Raw genomic sequence first — 15,508 nt, forward strand, 5'->3', positions numbered from 1 at the left:
AGAAGTAAATTTGGGAACATCTGCATGCCATGAGTATGCAGGGGAAGTCACCTATGAGAACCTCTTGTGTGCTGACCTGGAGTTAGAGCTGCTGTGTTTGTCTGGGGAGGAGGGTGGGAGATGGAGATGGAGAGAGTATTTTGAAAGAAACTTGAGGGAGGATATCAAATGTACAAGATATTTTTCTAAAGCTAGGTAGTAACTGGTTTGAAAAAGTCTAATTTAAGAGGTAATAACTTGAAGCTAATTTTAAGAGTATGTTTTTCTCTCTGAACTATTTGATGATAAGCAAATATTAACCAAATTATGGAGATTGAATTTAGAGAACTTGTGTGCCAGTGTGACAATTAGCAAAGTTTTATTAGAAATAAAGTGCCGGGCTGGGCATGGTGGCTCATGCCTGTAATCCCAGCACTTCGGGAGGTCAAGGTGGGCGGATCACCTGAGGTCAGGAGTTCGAGACCAGCCTGGCCAACATGGTGAAACCCCATCTCTACTAAAAATACAAAAAATTAGCCAGCGTGGTGGCACGTGCCTATAGTTCCAGCTACTTGGGAGGCTGAGGCACGAGAATTGCTTCAACCCCAGCAGGTGGAGGTTGCAATGAGCCAAGATCGTGCCACTGCACTCCAGCCTGGGTGACAGAGTAAGACTCTGTCTAAAAAAAAAAAAAAAGAAAAAGAAAGAAAGAAACAAAGTGCCATCCAATAGAATATTAATTAATACTTGCTTATCATCAAATAGTTGAGAAAGAAAAAAATGCTCTTAAAATTTGCTCGAAGTTATTACCTCTTAAATTAGACTCTTTCAAACCAATTATTACTTAGCTTTAGAAAAATCTCCTGTACATTTGATATCCTCCCTCAAGATCCTTTCAAAATACTTATTTGCTTATGTTTTGGTCTTAAACCTTTTTTATTGTCAACACACACCTCTCTCCTGTATTGGATCTCCTGCTTTCTATGTCTTCATGTTTTCCTCTTCTTTGCTTGTCCCTCTGTCTTTCCCTCCCCTCCCCTCCCTTCCCCTCCCCTTCCCTCCCATCCCCTCCTCTCCCCTCCCTTCCCCTCCATTTCCTTCCCCTCCCATCCTTTTCCTTTCCTTTCCTTTTCCTTCCCTTCTTCCCTCTTTCCCTCCTTCTGTCCTTCCATCCTTCCTTCCTTCCTCTCTTCTTTCCTTCCTCCCCTTTCTTTCTTTTTAATGTAGCACACCCTCCGTTAGCTTCCTGAGAGGGTAAAATTTTTGAGATCTTAAATGTCTATAAATATTTTTACACTATTCTCATTCTTGATTTATAGTCTGGGCCTAAAATTCAAGGTTGGGAATAATTTTCCTTTAGAATATTCAAGGCTTTAGTCCACTGCCCCCTAGCTTCTGAACTTACTGTTAAGAAGACCAAAGCCATTCTAAAACCTAAGTTTGTTTTTCTGTCTGGTAGTTAGTAGTATTTTCTCTCTTTATGTTCAATCTTTTGTCCGTCTTTGGTGTGCCGTTTCAGTCTGGAAAATTAAGGTCTTTAAGATCTGAAACATCTTCATTAGTTTTATTGATGCTTTCTTCCCCTCACTTTTCCCTGTTCTCTTTTTCTGGAATTCTGATTATTTGGGTATTAGACTTTCTGGATTCATTGGTTCTTTAATTTTCTTATGTTTGCTGTCATATTTCTTTGTTTTAAATCTTCTTGCCCTACTTTCTGGGTGATTTCCTCAACTTTATTTCCCTTTTCCTCTTTTTATTTTCTGGGTTTTCAAAGAGGCAATTTTCCAGCTTTTCTATTGAGTTTTGCATGTTTGAAATTTCTTCTTTCTTTCTTTCTTTTTTTTTTTTTTTTTTTTAGCATCCCTTTCTTGTTTGATGGATGATGCAGTATCTTCTGTCACCCCTCTGAGGTTATTGACATTTTCTGCTCCCTGCACAGGGAAACCTCGGTGTCCTCCAAGTGGCTTTCTTTATGTTTGTTTTGATCTGTGTTTCATGTTTGAGTTTTTCCTCAGATATCTGGTGATTGTGGCTTGCCTGCTTCTGTTTAAGAGTGAGTCCCCAAGGGAGCTGATTTGAGAGCTTCAAGCACTCAAGTGGGTCTTTTAAACTGAGGGCTTCATGGACAGAGCTGGTCCTGTAAGGAAGCCCACTCTCACTACAGTAGCAGCATCCTGAGGTTTTCCTGTTAGACTGGGCAGATTTCACAGAGATCTCACAAGCTTTTGCCTGAAGGCTACAGGTCTGGCTACCATTAAGAAAAAAAAAAAACTACTAAATAACTTAAAAAGCTTCCCAAGACATGGTGCCTTTTTTTCCCGCTTTTCTTTCTTTCCATACTATAGCCATATGTACTCTGAAAAATAAGACTTTATTAAAGATAAAGACTATAAGTAAATTTTATTTATTTATCTATTTATTTATTTATTTATTTGAGATAGGGTCTCACTCTATCACCCAGGCTGGAGTGCAGTGGCATGATCTTGGCTCACTGCAACCTCTGCCTCCCGGGTTGAAGAGATTCTCCTGCCTCAGCGTCCTGAGTAGCTGGGATTACAGGTGCCTGCCACCATGCCCAGCTAACTTTGTTATGTATATTTTAGTAGAGATGGGGTTTCACCATGTTGGTCATGCTGGCCTTGAACTCCTGACCTCAAGTGATCCTCCCGCCTCCCAAAGTGCTGGGATTGCAGGCATGAGCCACCACACCTGACCTATAAGTAAATTTGACAGTTAAAAAAAATCCAACAAAGACTTTCAAACTGACCTTCCCCTGCAATTAGGACACCTTAGTATTTTACTGTTAGATGATTCAACCTAAGGATATTATTTGATGGCCTTTTGGGTTTGGATATCAATTTAGGAAGGTAAATGTAGATACATTATGCCTTATATACAATGGACATAAAAATGACTCTTCTTGCCTGGACACAGTGATTCATGCCTGTAATCCTAGCACTTTGGGAGGCTGAGGCGGCAAATCACTTGAGGTCAGGGGTTTGACACCAGCCTGGCCAACCAACATGGTGAAACCCCGCTTCTACTAAAAATATAAAAAATAAGCCGGGCATTGTGGCACATGCCTGTAATCCCAGCTACTTGGGAGGCTGAGGCAGTAAAATCACTTGAACCCAGGAGGCAGAGGGTGCAGTGAGCCCAGATTGCCCCACTGCACTCCAGCCTGTGTGACAAGTGTGAGACAATGTTTCAAAAAAAAAAAACACACACACACACACACACACACACCCCTCTCTGCTGGAATGGCTCAGAGGCTGGGACAAGGACAGGGGTAGAGGGTTGTTTAAACCCAAGCTACTCATTCTTGCCTTTGTATCTTGCTATATTCGTGTAGGGCATGAATTTATACTACATGGATAGAGCAAGATATAAAATCGAGGCTAGGTGCAGTGGTTCACGTCTGTAATTCCAACACTTTGGGAGACCAAGGCAGGAGGATCAGAAGTTCAAGACCAGCCTGGGCAACATAGCAAGACCCTGTCTCTAAAAAAATTAAAAACTTAGCCATGTGTGGTGGTGCGCGCCTGTAGTCCCAGCTCCTCACGAGGCTAAGGAAGAAGGATTGCTTGAGCCGAGAGTTTGAGGCTGCAGTTAGCTATCATTGTACCACCACAATCCAGCTTGGGCTACAGAGTGAGATCCTATCTCAAAAACAAACAAACAAATAAACGAAAACCCAAAAAAGTCAAGGAGGTCCTGAACCACTCAGTTAATCCTAAAACCCCTGTATGCAAATAGGTGAGCAGGTGCCTGACTTTCAATATGGTTTCAGAGACTGGATAACCTTGTGTCCTGGGGCCCAAGGGGATGGTCTTTGATTAATATCTGACTGTGCCTAGGGCTCAGCTTTCAGTTTGTCCCAGCCCCAGGACCTCCGGTCTCCTCAGGGCTCCTGCCAGAGCAAGATTGCTTCCGGCACTTGCTCCTTATTTCCTGACCTCAGCCAGATGCCATTTTGATAGGGATGCCTTACCCTCCTCTGTCTCTGCAGCCCTGCCAGGGCTGGAGTCTCTACCTGACCCCATTCTGAAGCACTCACTACATCTTCATCTTTGCTTTTGGATCTCTCAGGTGTCAGCCACTGGCCCCAGTCCCTTATTGCTGCCCTACCATTACCCTCTGCCCAGATTCCCAGCTCGGAGCCACATGAGCCCTTTCCCTTCTCCTTGGAGGAGTGGTGTCTTCAATTGTAATGCACTGTGTTTTCTTCATTAAAGCATTGTTGTAAGTGGTGGTTAGGAACTCTAACTCTGTTATGGCTTCCCACATGGCCTGGACTCCACCAATTATAACACATTTTAAAGGAATAGTATATGTTTTGATTTCCAGGTCATAAATTTGAACAACCCATGTTTTGGCATAGGTTCCATTGGGAAGTTGGGGGCTGCTTTGCCATATCATGCAAGGGAGAAAAAATGTCATCATCAAATATTCATTAAGCTCCCACTTGTGCCTCGTGCTGTTGTGCCTGCTGAGTCTGTGAGGCCTCTGCTGGGCCTGTTTTTATAAACTCTAACAAGGCCGCCTTACAAATTGCCCTCTGAAGCTCAGCACACTGTAGAGGTTTCCCTGACATACCCTGTGTCATGCTAATGGGGAGGATTAAGGCAAGAAGTGTTCCTAGTCTGACAGAGTGCAATTGTAATTTAAATATGTCCTTTCCTGGAGCCCGAGTTCTTTTAGTCACTGAGCCTGCGCTAATTTGTGTGATTCTTTTAGGGGCCAGGGCACTCTTCTTAGAGTTTTTTAAAATTAATACTTCCTATCGGTTCAGTGTTTTATTTCAAGTGAGGCATTCTTAGAATAATGTGACACAGAGTGATTTCTGAAAGATTAAAGCAGTGTGTTCTGAGGTGAGCCTTACAATTAATTGCCTGAATTGGCTCTAATTATACATAAAGAGCCAAGCTATTAGTGTTAAGAAGAAGTGACTTCAGAAAGTACAGCTGGTCCCAAAGACCGAATAACTATTGCAAACAGTAATCAGTGAGGTGATACTTATTGTATAAAACACCTTAGCTGGAAATTACTTGTGTCCATTCTAATTGGGTTTTCCCCTTACACTTGGTTATTTCCTTTTCAGTGAAAGTATGCAATTTTTTAAACGCAGAGGCTAAAACTAAAATAGCTCATTGGAAAACATTTTTATGTAAACGAGTGTGCCCTGTGTGAACACAGACCCTCTTGATAATTTTTTTTTTTTTTGAGATGAGTCTTTCTTTGTCACCCAGGCTAGAGTGCAATGGTGCTATCTCAGCTGACTGCAACCTCCACCTCCCGGGTTCAAGCGATTCTCCCACCTCAGCCTCCCGAGTAGCTGGGATTACAGGTGCACACCACCACACTCGGCTAATTTTTTGTATCTTTAGTAGAGACAGGGTTTCACGGTGTTGATCAGGCTGGTCTCGAACTCCTGGCCTCGTGATCCGCCTGCCTCGGCCTCCCAAAGTGCTGGGATTACTGGCGTGAGCCAACACGCCCGGCCGAGCACGGACCCTCTTGATTGCTCCTCTTTAGATACTTTTGGAAGCTCTTCTTCCACCCACCTAAAATGTCAGTACTTCCAGGAATTTATCCTCAGTCTTCTCACTCCATACTGCCTCCCTGCTTGACCGCATCAAGTTCTGACTCTCTGCTAGCAAATTCCAAATTTATCTATCTGGGCCAGGTCCCTTCTGAATTCCAGAGGCACATTTTCATATGGTTATCTTACAGGAATTACAAACTTGTGCATGCCCAAAACAGAACCATAGACCATGATTGTCCCTCCCAAATCCACCCTTTCCCACCCTGCCCTGGCTCTTCCACTTAGGAGATCACCCAACACTAAACTCCATGTCTTGTTGATTCTACCGCTAACCATGTGTCTCCATCCTCATCACCCTGCCCTTTTTCATGCCTCCATCGTCTCCTTCCTAGACTGTAACAGAAGCCTTGCAACTGGTCTCCATCAATCCAATTTGCTTCCTGCCAAACTATACACACCTGCTAGGAAAATATTAAAAGCACAAGTCTGATCATGTCACTATGTGCTTAAACACGTGCAGTTGCTGTCAGTTATTTGACAAATTTGACCAATCATTGTCTTTTATTTGTGTGGCTGTTTGAACTTATATGTTCCCCATTCCTAATTTACAACAGCCCAGACTGACTGGTCATCTTTTAGGTGCTTGAATTCATGTAGATGGTTTACTGCATAAGGCCTTTGCACATGTGTCTGCTGTGACTGGACTGCTCTTCCTCCTGTCCTCTGCCTGGCTACTGCCTGCTTGCCCTTCTCATCTTCAGTGTCATTCCTCGGTGGCATTTCCAAAAGCCCTCCCCAGTTGGTTAGTTCCCCTACTAAATATGCCAACAGCATCCTGTATTTCCCAGCACTCATTATAATTATAATTAATCAAGTATTTGTATAATTACTGGTTTGATGACTGATGATGTCCCACTATCCTGTAAACTCCCTAAGAGCAGGGACCATGCCTGTCTGGCACACTATTCTCTCCCCAGTGCCTTTCATAACAAATATTTGCCAACTGAATGTGTAATGAATGCAGTTGGACAGAAGCCGTGGCATATGTTATATGTATTTGAACTTATGTTTGAATATGGGGTATCTGATGTTCTAGGAGCCTGACTACTTCCCACTCCAAAATAAGGCAATCCTGTAAAGGCCTTATATAGATTTTGCTAACTGTTCAGCTGTTACATCCTCTTTCCCCTTTCATTCTGGAAGTAGATTGGTCAAGAGTTCTACCAGAGAAACACAACCAATAGAAGATAAAAGATTTATTGCACACATTGGCTTGCTCATTTGTGGGGGCTGGCTAGGCAAGTACAAAATCAATCCGTAGGACAGGCTGTCTGGACGAACAGACTGGAATTCTCTGGCACAGGGTGGGGCTGCTGTTCACAGGTGGAATTTCTTCCCGGGGAACTCGGCTCTGCCCTTAAGGCTTCAACTGATTCAATCAGGCCCACTTATAATCTTCACTTAAAGTCAACTGATTATGGACTTTAGTCACATCTACAAAATACTTTCACATGGAACCAGGCACGGTGGCTCATGCCTGTAATCCCAGCTACTCGGGAGGCTGAGACAGGAGGATCACTTGAGCCCAGGAGTTTGAAGCCAGCCTAGGCAACATAGTGAGACCCTGTCTCTTAAAAAAAATTTTTTTTTTAATCAGCCAGGTATGGTGGCACGTGCTTGTAGTTCCAGCTACTCAAGAGGCTGAGGCAGGAGGATTGCTTGAGCCCAGGAGATCGAGGCTGCTGTGTGAGCTGTGATCATACCACTGCATCCACTCTGGGCAACAGAACAAGACCATGTCTCTAAACAAACAAAAACCTTTACGGCAATGCCTGGATTAGTATTTGGTTTAATAACTAGACGGTAGCTTGTAACAAAGTTGACACATAAAATTGACCATCAAATAAGTCTCTGATGCAAAGTACTGGTTTAAAAGCAAAATTATCCTTTAAAAAAAAAAAAAAGAAAAAACAGAAACAAAAAAACCTTGGTACTTCTGGGATTGGGAATGGTAATGAAATGTTTTATTCAGTGGGTTTCTTATTAGTTATGAGCTATGGAAGTAATGTCTATATAAAATAAGTTTTTACCTATTCTGCTGATGTATGCCAAATAACCTCATTCCTCTGCTATCCAAAACAAATGTATCACTATTCAAATGTGAATCAGTAATAAAATTCTGGAAAAATTGGCCCTTTTATGTGTAGTGTTTCTAATAAGTGGACAACTGTGTCTTCCACAGGTGCCTTTTTGTTTATCACAGCAGACATTTACTGAGCTCAGGGCAGGGCAGTGGAGATGAGGCTGAATACCACCTAATTTCAAGGCTTTGCATTGGATTGTGGTAGACAAATAAGTAAAACCTAATTGCAGGCCCAGAGTTCTGTGAGGTTGGAGTATAGACGGTGAGAGAGACCTAGTTTGATGCCAGAGCTTGGGGACCCAGCTTTATTCTGCAGAGAGAGAAGAAGCCCTCTCTCGGGGAGTGTCGTGTTCCTGTGATTTAGGGAGAGGAATCTGGTGAAGTAAGGGAAGGGAGGGAGAGTGTTAGTGGCAGGAGTTGGAGCTGAAACTTTGGCAGCAATGTTGAAAAAAAGAGGCTGGGTTCTAGCACTAGCAGAGTTTTGTCAACTGAGGAGATGACTTTGAGGTGACCAGTAATGGAGGTGTGTGGTACTGGAGGAAAAATGAATGTTTAGTTCTGGGGCAGGTGAAGGGGACAAAAGATAAGAGTTGCTATGTATTGTGCATCTACACTGGGTCTGGTGCGTGACACACACACAATTTCATTTATTGGTTTGGAGGCTGGTGTTATTTCTAGCCTGGGTGAAATCACCTAAGGAGGGTCTTGAACCAAGGGAGAAGTTTGAGGAAGGTCCTAACTTACTCATTTGAGGGGGCTGGCTAGGCAAGCACAAAATCAATCCATAGGACCTTGGTACCAAAGATTCTTTTTTACATCTTTCATCTTTTTATAAAGGGTAATATAGACATGCCACTTTAAATATTACCTGACAGCTGATTCTAAGAGGATATCTGTTTGTATTTAAATGTTGGTTAGTAGATATTGGAAAGGGGGAAAAAGGATTACATTCATGAATGATTTCTCTGTGTTGTCTTATAACTCCCAAAGTGAATTGAGAAAGCAGAGGTTTTTGGCCCTGAATATACCCCTTGGTACATGAAATCATATTCACTCAATTTACTTTATAAAAAGGCAAGTATGAAAGACTCTCACTGACCATATCTGGGAAAACTAGAGTGTCAAAATAAATGAGAGTAACAGATTGTAAGTCATTACATGAAATAGGATTCAATGAGTCTGTGTTGATAAAAATAAATAAGCGGAGGTGAGAGAGAGGAAGCTCTTCTTTTATTGGTTGAGAATGCTGACCAATGAATGTAGGAGGAATGTAGGAACTAGAATAATCACCATTTGGCAAACATAGTGATGGTTGATTAAGGCAGGAATTGTCAATGGATGCTAAGTTTGGTGGATGCTAAGAATGGAGGCTTGAGGAACAGGATATTGGCATAGTCTCATAGTGTTTCTCTACAACGTACCTATCAATTACGAGGAGGAAAATGTTGACTTTATATTTTTTTGGCATCTTCCTGCCAGGAATGCATGGCCTGAGTCTCGTCATGAGGAGACATCAGATGGATTCAAATTGAGGGTGACCTGAGTCATCTGAGAGAATAAAAGGTTTGGCTCACTAAAACTGTCAAGGATGAGAGGCAAGGAAAGACCGAGAAACTACTCCACACTGAAGAAGAGATTGGATAACTAAATGTAATGCATGGTCCCAAATTGGATCCTGGGCCTGGAAGGAGAAAGAGCCACTGTTGGGACGAGCTGAATGGCATTTGTGAATTTAGATAGTAATATTCTATTAGCATTCAGTCACTGATTGAGCTAGTCAGATGATTATTATATAAGAGAGTGCCTTTGTTTTGGGAAATACATACTGGAATATACAGGAGTGAAGGGGCATCATATCCACAATTCACTCTCAAATGATTCAGAAAGTGCTGAAGACTAAATAATCCAGTGTCTAAGTGAAAGGGAAAGAGGAGTGTGAGTTCTTTGTACTGTTCGTGCAACTTAAGTTATTTTAAAATAGAGTATTTTTAAAGGTGATGAAACTCAAGGAAGGACCAAAGAACTGTTTTGAATTGCAGGAAACTGAGAGGCATGACAAATACCATGAATGATCCTGAACTGAATCCTTTTGCTACAAAAGAAGTCAGTGGGATGGTGAAGTGGCTACATTGTCCGAGGTGTATACTCGGGGTTTTGTCATCGCACGCCAGGAAAATTTAGCACACAGACACACACGAGTTTAGGAGTGGAGGTTTAATAGGCAGAAGAGAAGAGAAAGAGAAACAGCTCTCTCTATAGAGAAAGGGGTCTCCCAGTGGAAAGGACCAGCAGGTGGTGAATGTGCCTGATTTTATAGTCAGGTTTGAGGAGGTGGTGTCTGGTTTACATAGGGCTCACAGATTGGTTCCATCAGGTATGACATTTACATAGTGCATAGGGAAGGCTGGTTGCCCCACCCTAATCTTATTATGCAAATAGCCTTTCCAGTTGATCTGAACCATCTTGTCTGCTTCTTACTGTACAGGTGGCTGACAAAGAGAAGGGAAGATGGAGCCGCCATCTTGAACATGATTGGCACAACTGCTGGCATCTATGTCTGCAGCTCAATTTTACAAGCTACCCATTGTTAGAAAGGAAAATAATTTGGGGCTGGTTTTCATGAAAAGGAAAACCTTATGGAGGACTTCCGTGTCCTCACTATCTGCCCAAGTAAATTCTTCCTAACTTTTGTATCAGTGGTTGGCAGGTTCAATAGGGTTTTTGAGTGAAGATATGGACGTTCTTTGTACTGTTCTGAGAGTTTACCTGTAAGTTTGAAATTGTTTTAAAATAAATTTTTTAAGGTTTCAAGAACTTTCCCTCAAGTCCAAAAAAGTTTTAATTTCCTTTTTCTTTGACCAGAATAGGATAGAATTTGTTTCTGCTATAAAAGGCTAACCAGACTGTGCTTTTGAAAAGGAGGTTGGAAGGTGTTAAAGATTTTATTTTACAAGTAGGAAATGCCTACGTGGTCCATCTGTAGACAAGTCAGCCTCTTGACTCTTTGTCCTCAGATGTAAATTCAGGATAACAGTTTCTGCCTGGCCTCTCTTGTTGGGTGAGTCCTTCTTAGGGCAAACAGATAAATCTGTAAGCATTATTAAAAAAAAAAAAATTAAAAAAAAAAAAGAGAGAGAGAGAATGCTATAGCAAGGTAAGCTATTCTTGACAAAATGCTCTTCATTCTATTAATAGAGGTATTCTGGGTTGGTAATGGAAATGGCTTTCCCCTTGTTTGCTTCTCAAACATCTCCTTACCATCTTTTCCATGATTCTCTTTCAACTTCTTCCTCTTTTACTGACTTTTTTCTCTCCCCGTCTTTTATCCCCCTTCTTTCTTTCTTTTTTTTTTTTTTCTGATGGAGTCTTGCTCTGTTGCCCAGGCTGGAGGGCAATGGCACGATCTCTGCCCCCTGCAACCTCTGCCTCCCGGGTTCAGGTGATTCTCCTGCCTCAGCCTCCCGAATAGCTGGGAATACAGGTGTGCGTCACCATGCCCAGCTGATTTTTGTATTTTTAGTAGAGATGGGGTTTTGTCATGTTGTCCAGGCTAGTCTTGAACTCCTGACCTCGTGATCTGCCCACCTCAGCCTCCCAAAGTGCTGGGATTACAGATGTGAGCCACCACACCCAGCCTATCCCTGCTCCTTTTTATTAGACCTGAATTTTTACCTCTTGTACATAATTCTTTGCTTTTTTTTTATTCTCTCCACTCCTGACTCTTCTGTCTTTGACAGTTTTGTTTCCCTACTTACCTGCTTTGACTCGATTCCCTTTTTGTTGTAGCCTGAAGGATTCTAGATGTAATCCTACTTGTCCAATTTGCCTTTATTCAAGAGCAAGACCAACATAAAATAGACTGTTAGTGATAGACTGTAAAAAAATGGAGTTTTATTAAAGATACCATTTAATGAATGCTTACTGTGGGCCAAGAATTGGGTTGCTTGCATCATCTATATTCAGATTTAAACCACACAACAACATTTTGGAGTAGGTATTTCTATCCCCATTTTACAAAATAGGAAATGGAAGCACAGAAGCAGTACAGCTTACTGAAAATAAAAAATAGTAGGTGGCAAAGCCAAGTTTCCAGATCCCAAGGTGAATTTCAAAACCTGTGGTGCTTTAATCCTACTATCTGGCCTAAGGGTATTAGTTCCATAACAATTGGGTTTGGAGATAGCACCCTAGGGGCCAAGGGTGTCATTTACATGAGAATCAATGAGGAGCCAGAGAAAGTGAGTTTTGTAGCAGTTATTAGGCTAGGGTGTTGGGGAGGGAAACTGAAATATGTGTCAGCCTCCGAATGGCTGATTCTTGGCAAGTAATTATTTATAATCAGTGCATGTTGCTGCTGAAAGCCATCCCATCGGACCCCTTTCCAGCAAGATTCTACTTTTGGAGTGTAACAGCAACTAATTACGTGCTGTTAAATCCAAGACCCATTTTATATTCAGAGGTTCCAGTGGTAGACCTCACATGTCAGGAGCAATTAGTGACACTGTGGCATGTCATCTTCAATGTGCTGAACTGTGGACAATAAATCCTAGCAGGCTGGATAGGTTAAAATAACCACATTCACCATCATCCTCACTGCCTTCCGAGCAATGCTATTTCAAGGCAACAGGTTCAGGATGTCCTCCTAAGTGGTGGTCTGGGGATTTCAGAAACATAAAAATATGATTAATACTGAAAGTTTTAAGATTTCGAGTGCTTAGGAAATAGGCTGGAGATATCGACAGAGGATAATGTCATGCTGTAGGTCTAAAAGCTGACCATGGAGGTGTCTGTTCCCCCATAGCTCAAATGTAATAACTACTATGTGCTGATAGAACCTGAGGCATACACATAACAAATGCTAGAATGTGGAAACTGGTTTGGCTGAGGCTTTAGACATCGAGTTCCATTTTGCTGATTGACTACCTTGGATTAATGGGAAGTATATCCTCCACCCCCACCCCTGCCTTTTTTTAAGTTAAAAAATGAACAATCTCCTTCTTTTTTGGGGGGCTGGGGAGGCGGGTGGACAGGGTCTTACTCTGTCACCTACGCTGGAGTGCAGTGGGGTGATCTTGGCTCACTGTAACCTCTACCTCCCAGGTTCAAGTGATCCTCCCACCTCAGTCTCCTTAGTAGCTGGGACTTCAGATGCACACCACCATGGCTGGGCCTTTTTTTAAATTTTGTATCATTTTGTAGACACAGAGTCTCGCCATGTTGCCCAGGCTGGTCTTGAACTCCTGGGCTCAAGCAACCCATCTGCCTCAGCTTCCCAAAGTGCTGGGATTACAGGCATGAGCCACTGTGCCCAGCCAAAAAGTGAATAGTGTTCTTATTGGAATTTGAAATCTTTGTTTATAAAATATATCTCATAGTACACATCCTTATTCAATTTCGTAGGGAAAAATGCAGAAGCTGAAATGTATTTTTCTGTTGAAAGTAAAATGTGATGTTGCAGCAGCAGCAGCAGATGAGTTGTCTATGCAGCCATACTCTGTCACTTATGGTTCTACCTCTGTTGCTGACATCAGGTTGATCTCCTAAAGGGGGATATTCTCGTCGATCTTGGATGTTTAGGATGTTGCTGAGATGCTGCATGGAAATATGCAGTAACAGGACATGGCTGGAGTGTGGCTGAGCAGTGAAAGCATCTGAAAAAAATCGCCCTCTTGGGAGACCCAGGCTGTGTCCATTAAGCCAGGATCTGCCCAGAGTGCCGTCTTTATGGTGGGTTTAGCTCAGAGGTAATTGACTCTTCAGCCCATTGAGGCAGCTCAGGGCTCTCTGAGGTAAAGAGGCTCTTTGTTTCCCCCTCCATTCTGGGGCTTGGCTATTTCAACTAGACTATTCATATCAAATGTAAATTCCAGCCACCAAAAACAGTCTGTGGAAATCTTGATTGTGTGCAGTTTAGAGATGGCCAGAGAAAGAATAAGAAAAGAAGATAAATAAATATAAATTGAATAAAAATAAAGAATTTGAGAGAAGTTGTTTAAATTTGGGTGACCACAGGGTATTGTCAGCTATTTTAGTGTAGGGTAGAAACATCACTGGGAAACACCTAATAAGCAGGTAGTACTACTTGAAAGAATGCATTGTAAAGATAATATACAGCTCTTTAATACGTGACTGGGTCATTATTGAGCGAAACTGAAGGAAATACTCTGAAAGAGTAGATGAAGCTATGAGCATGGTTTATTGGAAATGTATGTTAAGTTCTAAGATAATTATTTGATCAGAAATCTTTGTCGATTATGTACGTGTCACACATTTTTCACTGGCCTTTTCAAGTAGTAAACTTCTAAATATTCCTACAGTGATTTAGCTGATCATCAGTAAGCACCGTCTATCAGCCAAGTACAGTCTATTCTTACAGAGATGAGGATTGACTTTGCAAAGATGTGGCTTTGGTCAGTGAGTGATACTCACAGGATAATTGACTCAGTCAACCAACCATGTTTTGGGGAGTAGGGAGGAGGGCTGGTTTCACAATCAATACATGAAGTAGCATGTTTTAGATACTGTTACCTGGCAGGCAGGTATAAATCAATGGCTTCACTTTCCTGAGTTCAGATCTGTACTGTGAAGTGACCTGTCACAGGCATAGCCTTTATATTGTTCCCACTGGAGTAAATCACCAAGGAGTGCTGTGTTTGAAAGTGTGCACACTTTCGCATCCCATGTCCTCTGCCACACTACCAACTTTTCTCTCTCTTTTTCTATGTTATGCATTGGGAATGGAGAGGAATGAAGGAAGTCATCAACTAAAGAGTCACCTTTATGGAGACTGTAAGCATTGATGGTTTGCAGCACGTTCTCTTCCAGCCCCAGGAAGTTCTGCTTCTGTAGTTGTCACGGAGCAACCCCAGGCTGCAGCCTTTCCTGCCACCAGCCTGGTTTACAGGAATTGATGCTGGTGATGTAATTTTAATCCTTGGTTCATTCATCTACCTAAAATCCATAGATGTCCATAAACCTTCTATATTCTAATTTGTAGAGACTCAGATATTACAGAGAGATTTCATAATCTTGGCCCAAAACAAAGGTTTGCTGATAAAATAAAACAGAATCGGCTGGGCGCGGTGGCTCACACCTGTAATCCCAGCACTTTGGGAGGCCCAGGCGGGCGGATCACGAGGTCAGGAGATCGAGACCATCCTGCTAACACGGTGAAACCCCGTCTCTACTAAAAATACAAAAAATTAGCTGGGTGAGGTGGCGCATGCCTGTAGTCCCAGCTACTTGGGAGGCTGAGGCAGGAGAATGGCGTGAACCCAGGAGGCGGAGCTTGCAGTGAGCAGAGATCTATCTCGCCATTGCACTCCAGCCTGGGTGACAGAGCAAGACTCGTCTCAAAAATAAATAAATAAATAAAACAGAATCTTGGTATGCATAAAAATTAATTGTAAGTCCTTTTAACATTTGAAAAGTAAATGTTGTTATAAGAAGTAATATTTGTACAGGGCAGAGAGAAATAAGATAGACCCTCTGCCAAGAAATAAAAATCTCCTATAAATGATCCCACTATCCAGAAATAGATAATATTTGGTGTTAAATACTCATATTTTCTTCTCTAGTATTTATATTCCTGTAAATCATTTATTATATTTATTTTTCATAAAAATAGTCATGCACACATGCTGCTTTATAAACCTCTCCCTTCCCCAGTGTTTCCAAGTTGGTAGCTCTATATTTATTATTGTTTATAATGGCTGCAGAGATTTGGTGGACACATACGTTGTGTCCTATTTTTTTGTTGTTGCCATAAGCAACACTGTGATGAACATCTTTGTACACAGGAGTATGTACTTGCTTGATTTTATGCTTAAAATAGCTTCTTA

The 15,508-nt window shown here is 41.9% G+C and overlaps 1 protein-coding gene across 48 annotated transcripts in view, besides 3 other annotated features; it reads left to right on the top strand.

Moving 5' to 3' along the window:
* Positions 1 to 15,508, top strand: part of OSBPL6 (oxysterol binding protein like 6) — a 209,120-nt gene that overhangs the window by 13,851 nt on the left and 179,761 nt on the right. For 6 of the 48 annotated variants that reach the window (XM_047443124.1, XM_047443127.1, XM_047443160.1 and 3 more), the window contains exon 2: positions 9,147 to 9,230. The exons of 39 other annotated variants lie outside the window; for them this stretch is intronic. The gene's annotated coding sequence lies outside the window, so the exon portion shown is untranslated. Of the gene's footprint in view, positions 1 to 9,146; positions 9,318 to 15,508 lie in introns of all 48 variants that reach the window. 3 more of the 48 variants (XM_047443123.1, XM_047443149.1, XM_047443129.1) reach the window with 1 other exon arrangement.
* Positions 3,600 to 4,177: an enhancer, noted in NCBI's record as "NANOG-H3K27ac-H3K4me1 hESC enhancer chr2:179075951-179076528 (GRCh37/hg19 assembly coordinates)". NCBI's record gives its function as "activates a minimal SCP1, AML or CMV promoter by ChIP-STARR-seq in primed H9 embryonic stem cells {active_cell/tissue: H9 hESC(primed)}" and the evidence as "EXISTENCE:reporter gene assay evidence [ECO:0000049][PMID:30033119]".
* Positions 3,778 to 4,072: a silencer, noted in NCBI's record as "tiled region #9723; K562 Repressive non-DNase unmatched - State 7:EnhWF". NCBI's record gives its function as "represses a minimal TATA promoter and a strong SV40 promoter by Sharpr-MPRA in K562 cells {active_cell/tissue: K562}" and the evidence as "EXISTENCE:reporter gene assay evidence [ECO:0000049][PMID:27701403]".
* Positions 4,178 to 4,755: an enhancer, noted in NCBI's record as "OCT4-NANOG-H3K27ac-H3K4me1 hESC enhancer chr2:179076529-179077106 (GRCh37/hg19 assembly coordinates)". NCBI's record gives its function as "activates a minimal SCP1, AML or CMV promoter by ChIP-STARR-seq in naive H9 embryonic stem cells {active_cell/tissue: H9 hESC(naive)}" and the evidence as "EXISTENCE:reporter gene assay evidence [ECO:0000049][PMID:30033119]".

This window comes from Homo sapiens, chromosome 2 (genome assembly GCF_000001405.40).
Source record: "Homo sapiens chromosome 2, GRCh38.p14 Primary Assembly".
NCBI classification, from domain to species: Eukaryota; Metazoa; Chordata; class Mammalia; order Primates; family Hominidae; genus Homo; species Homo sapiens.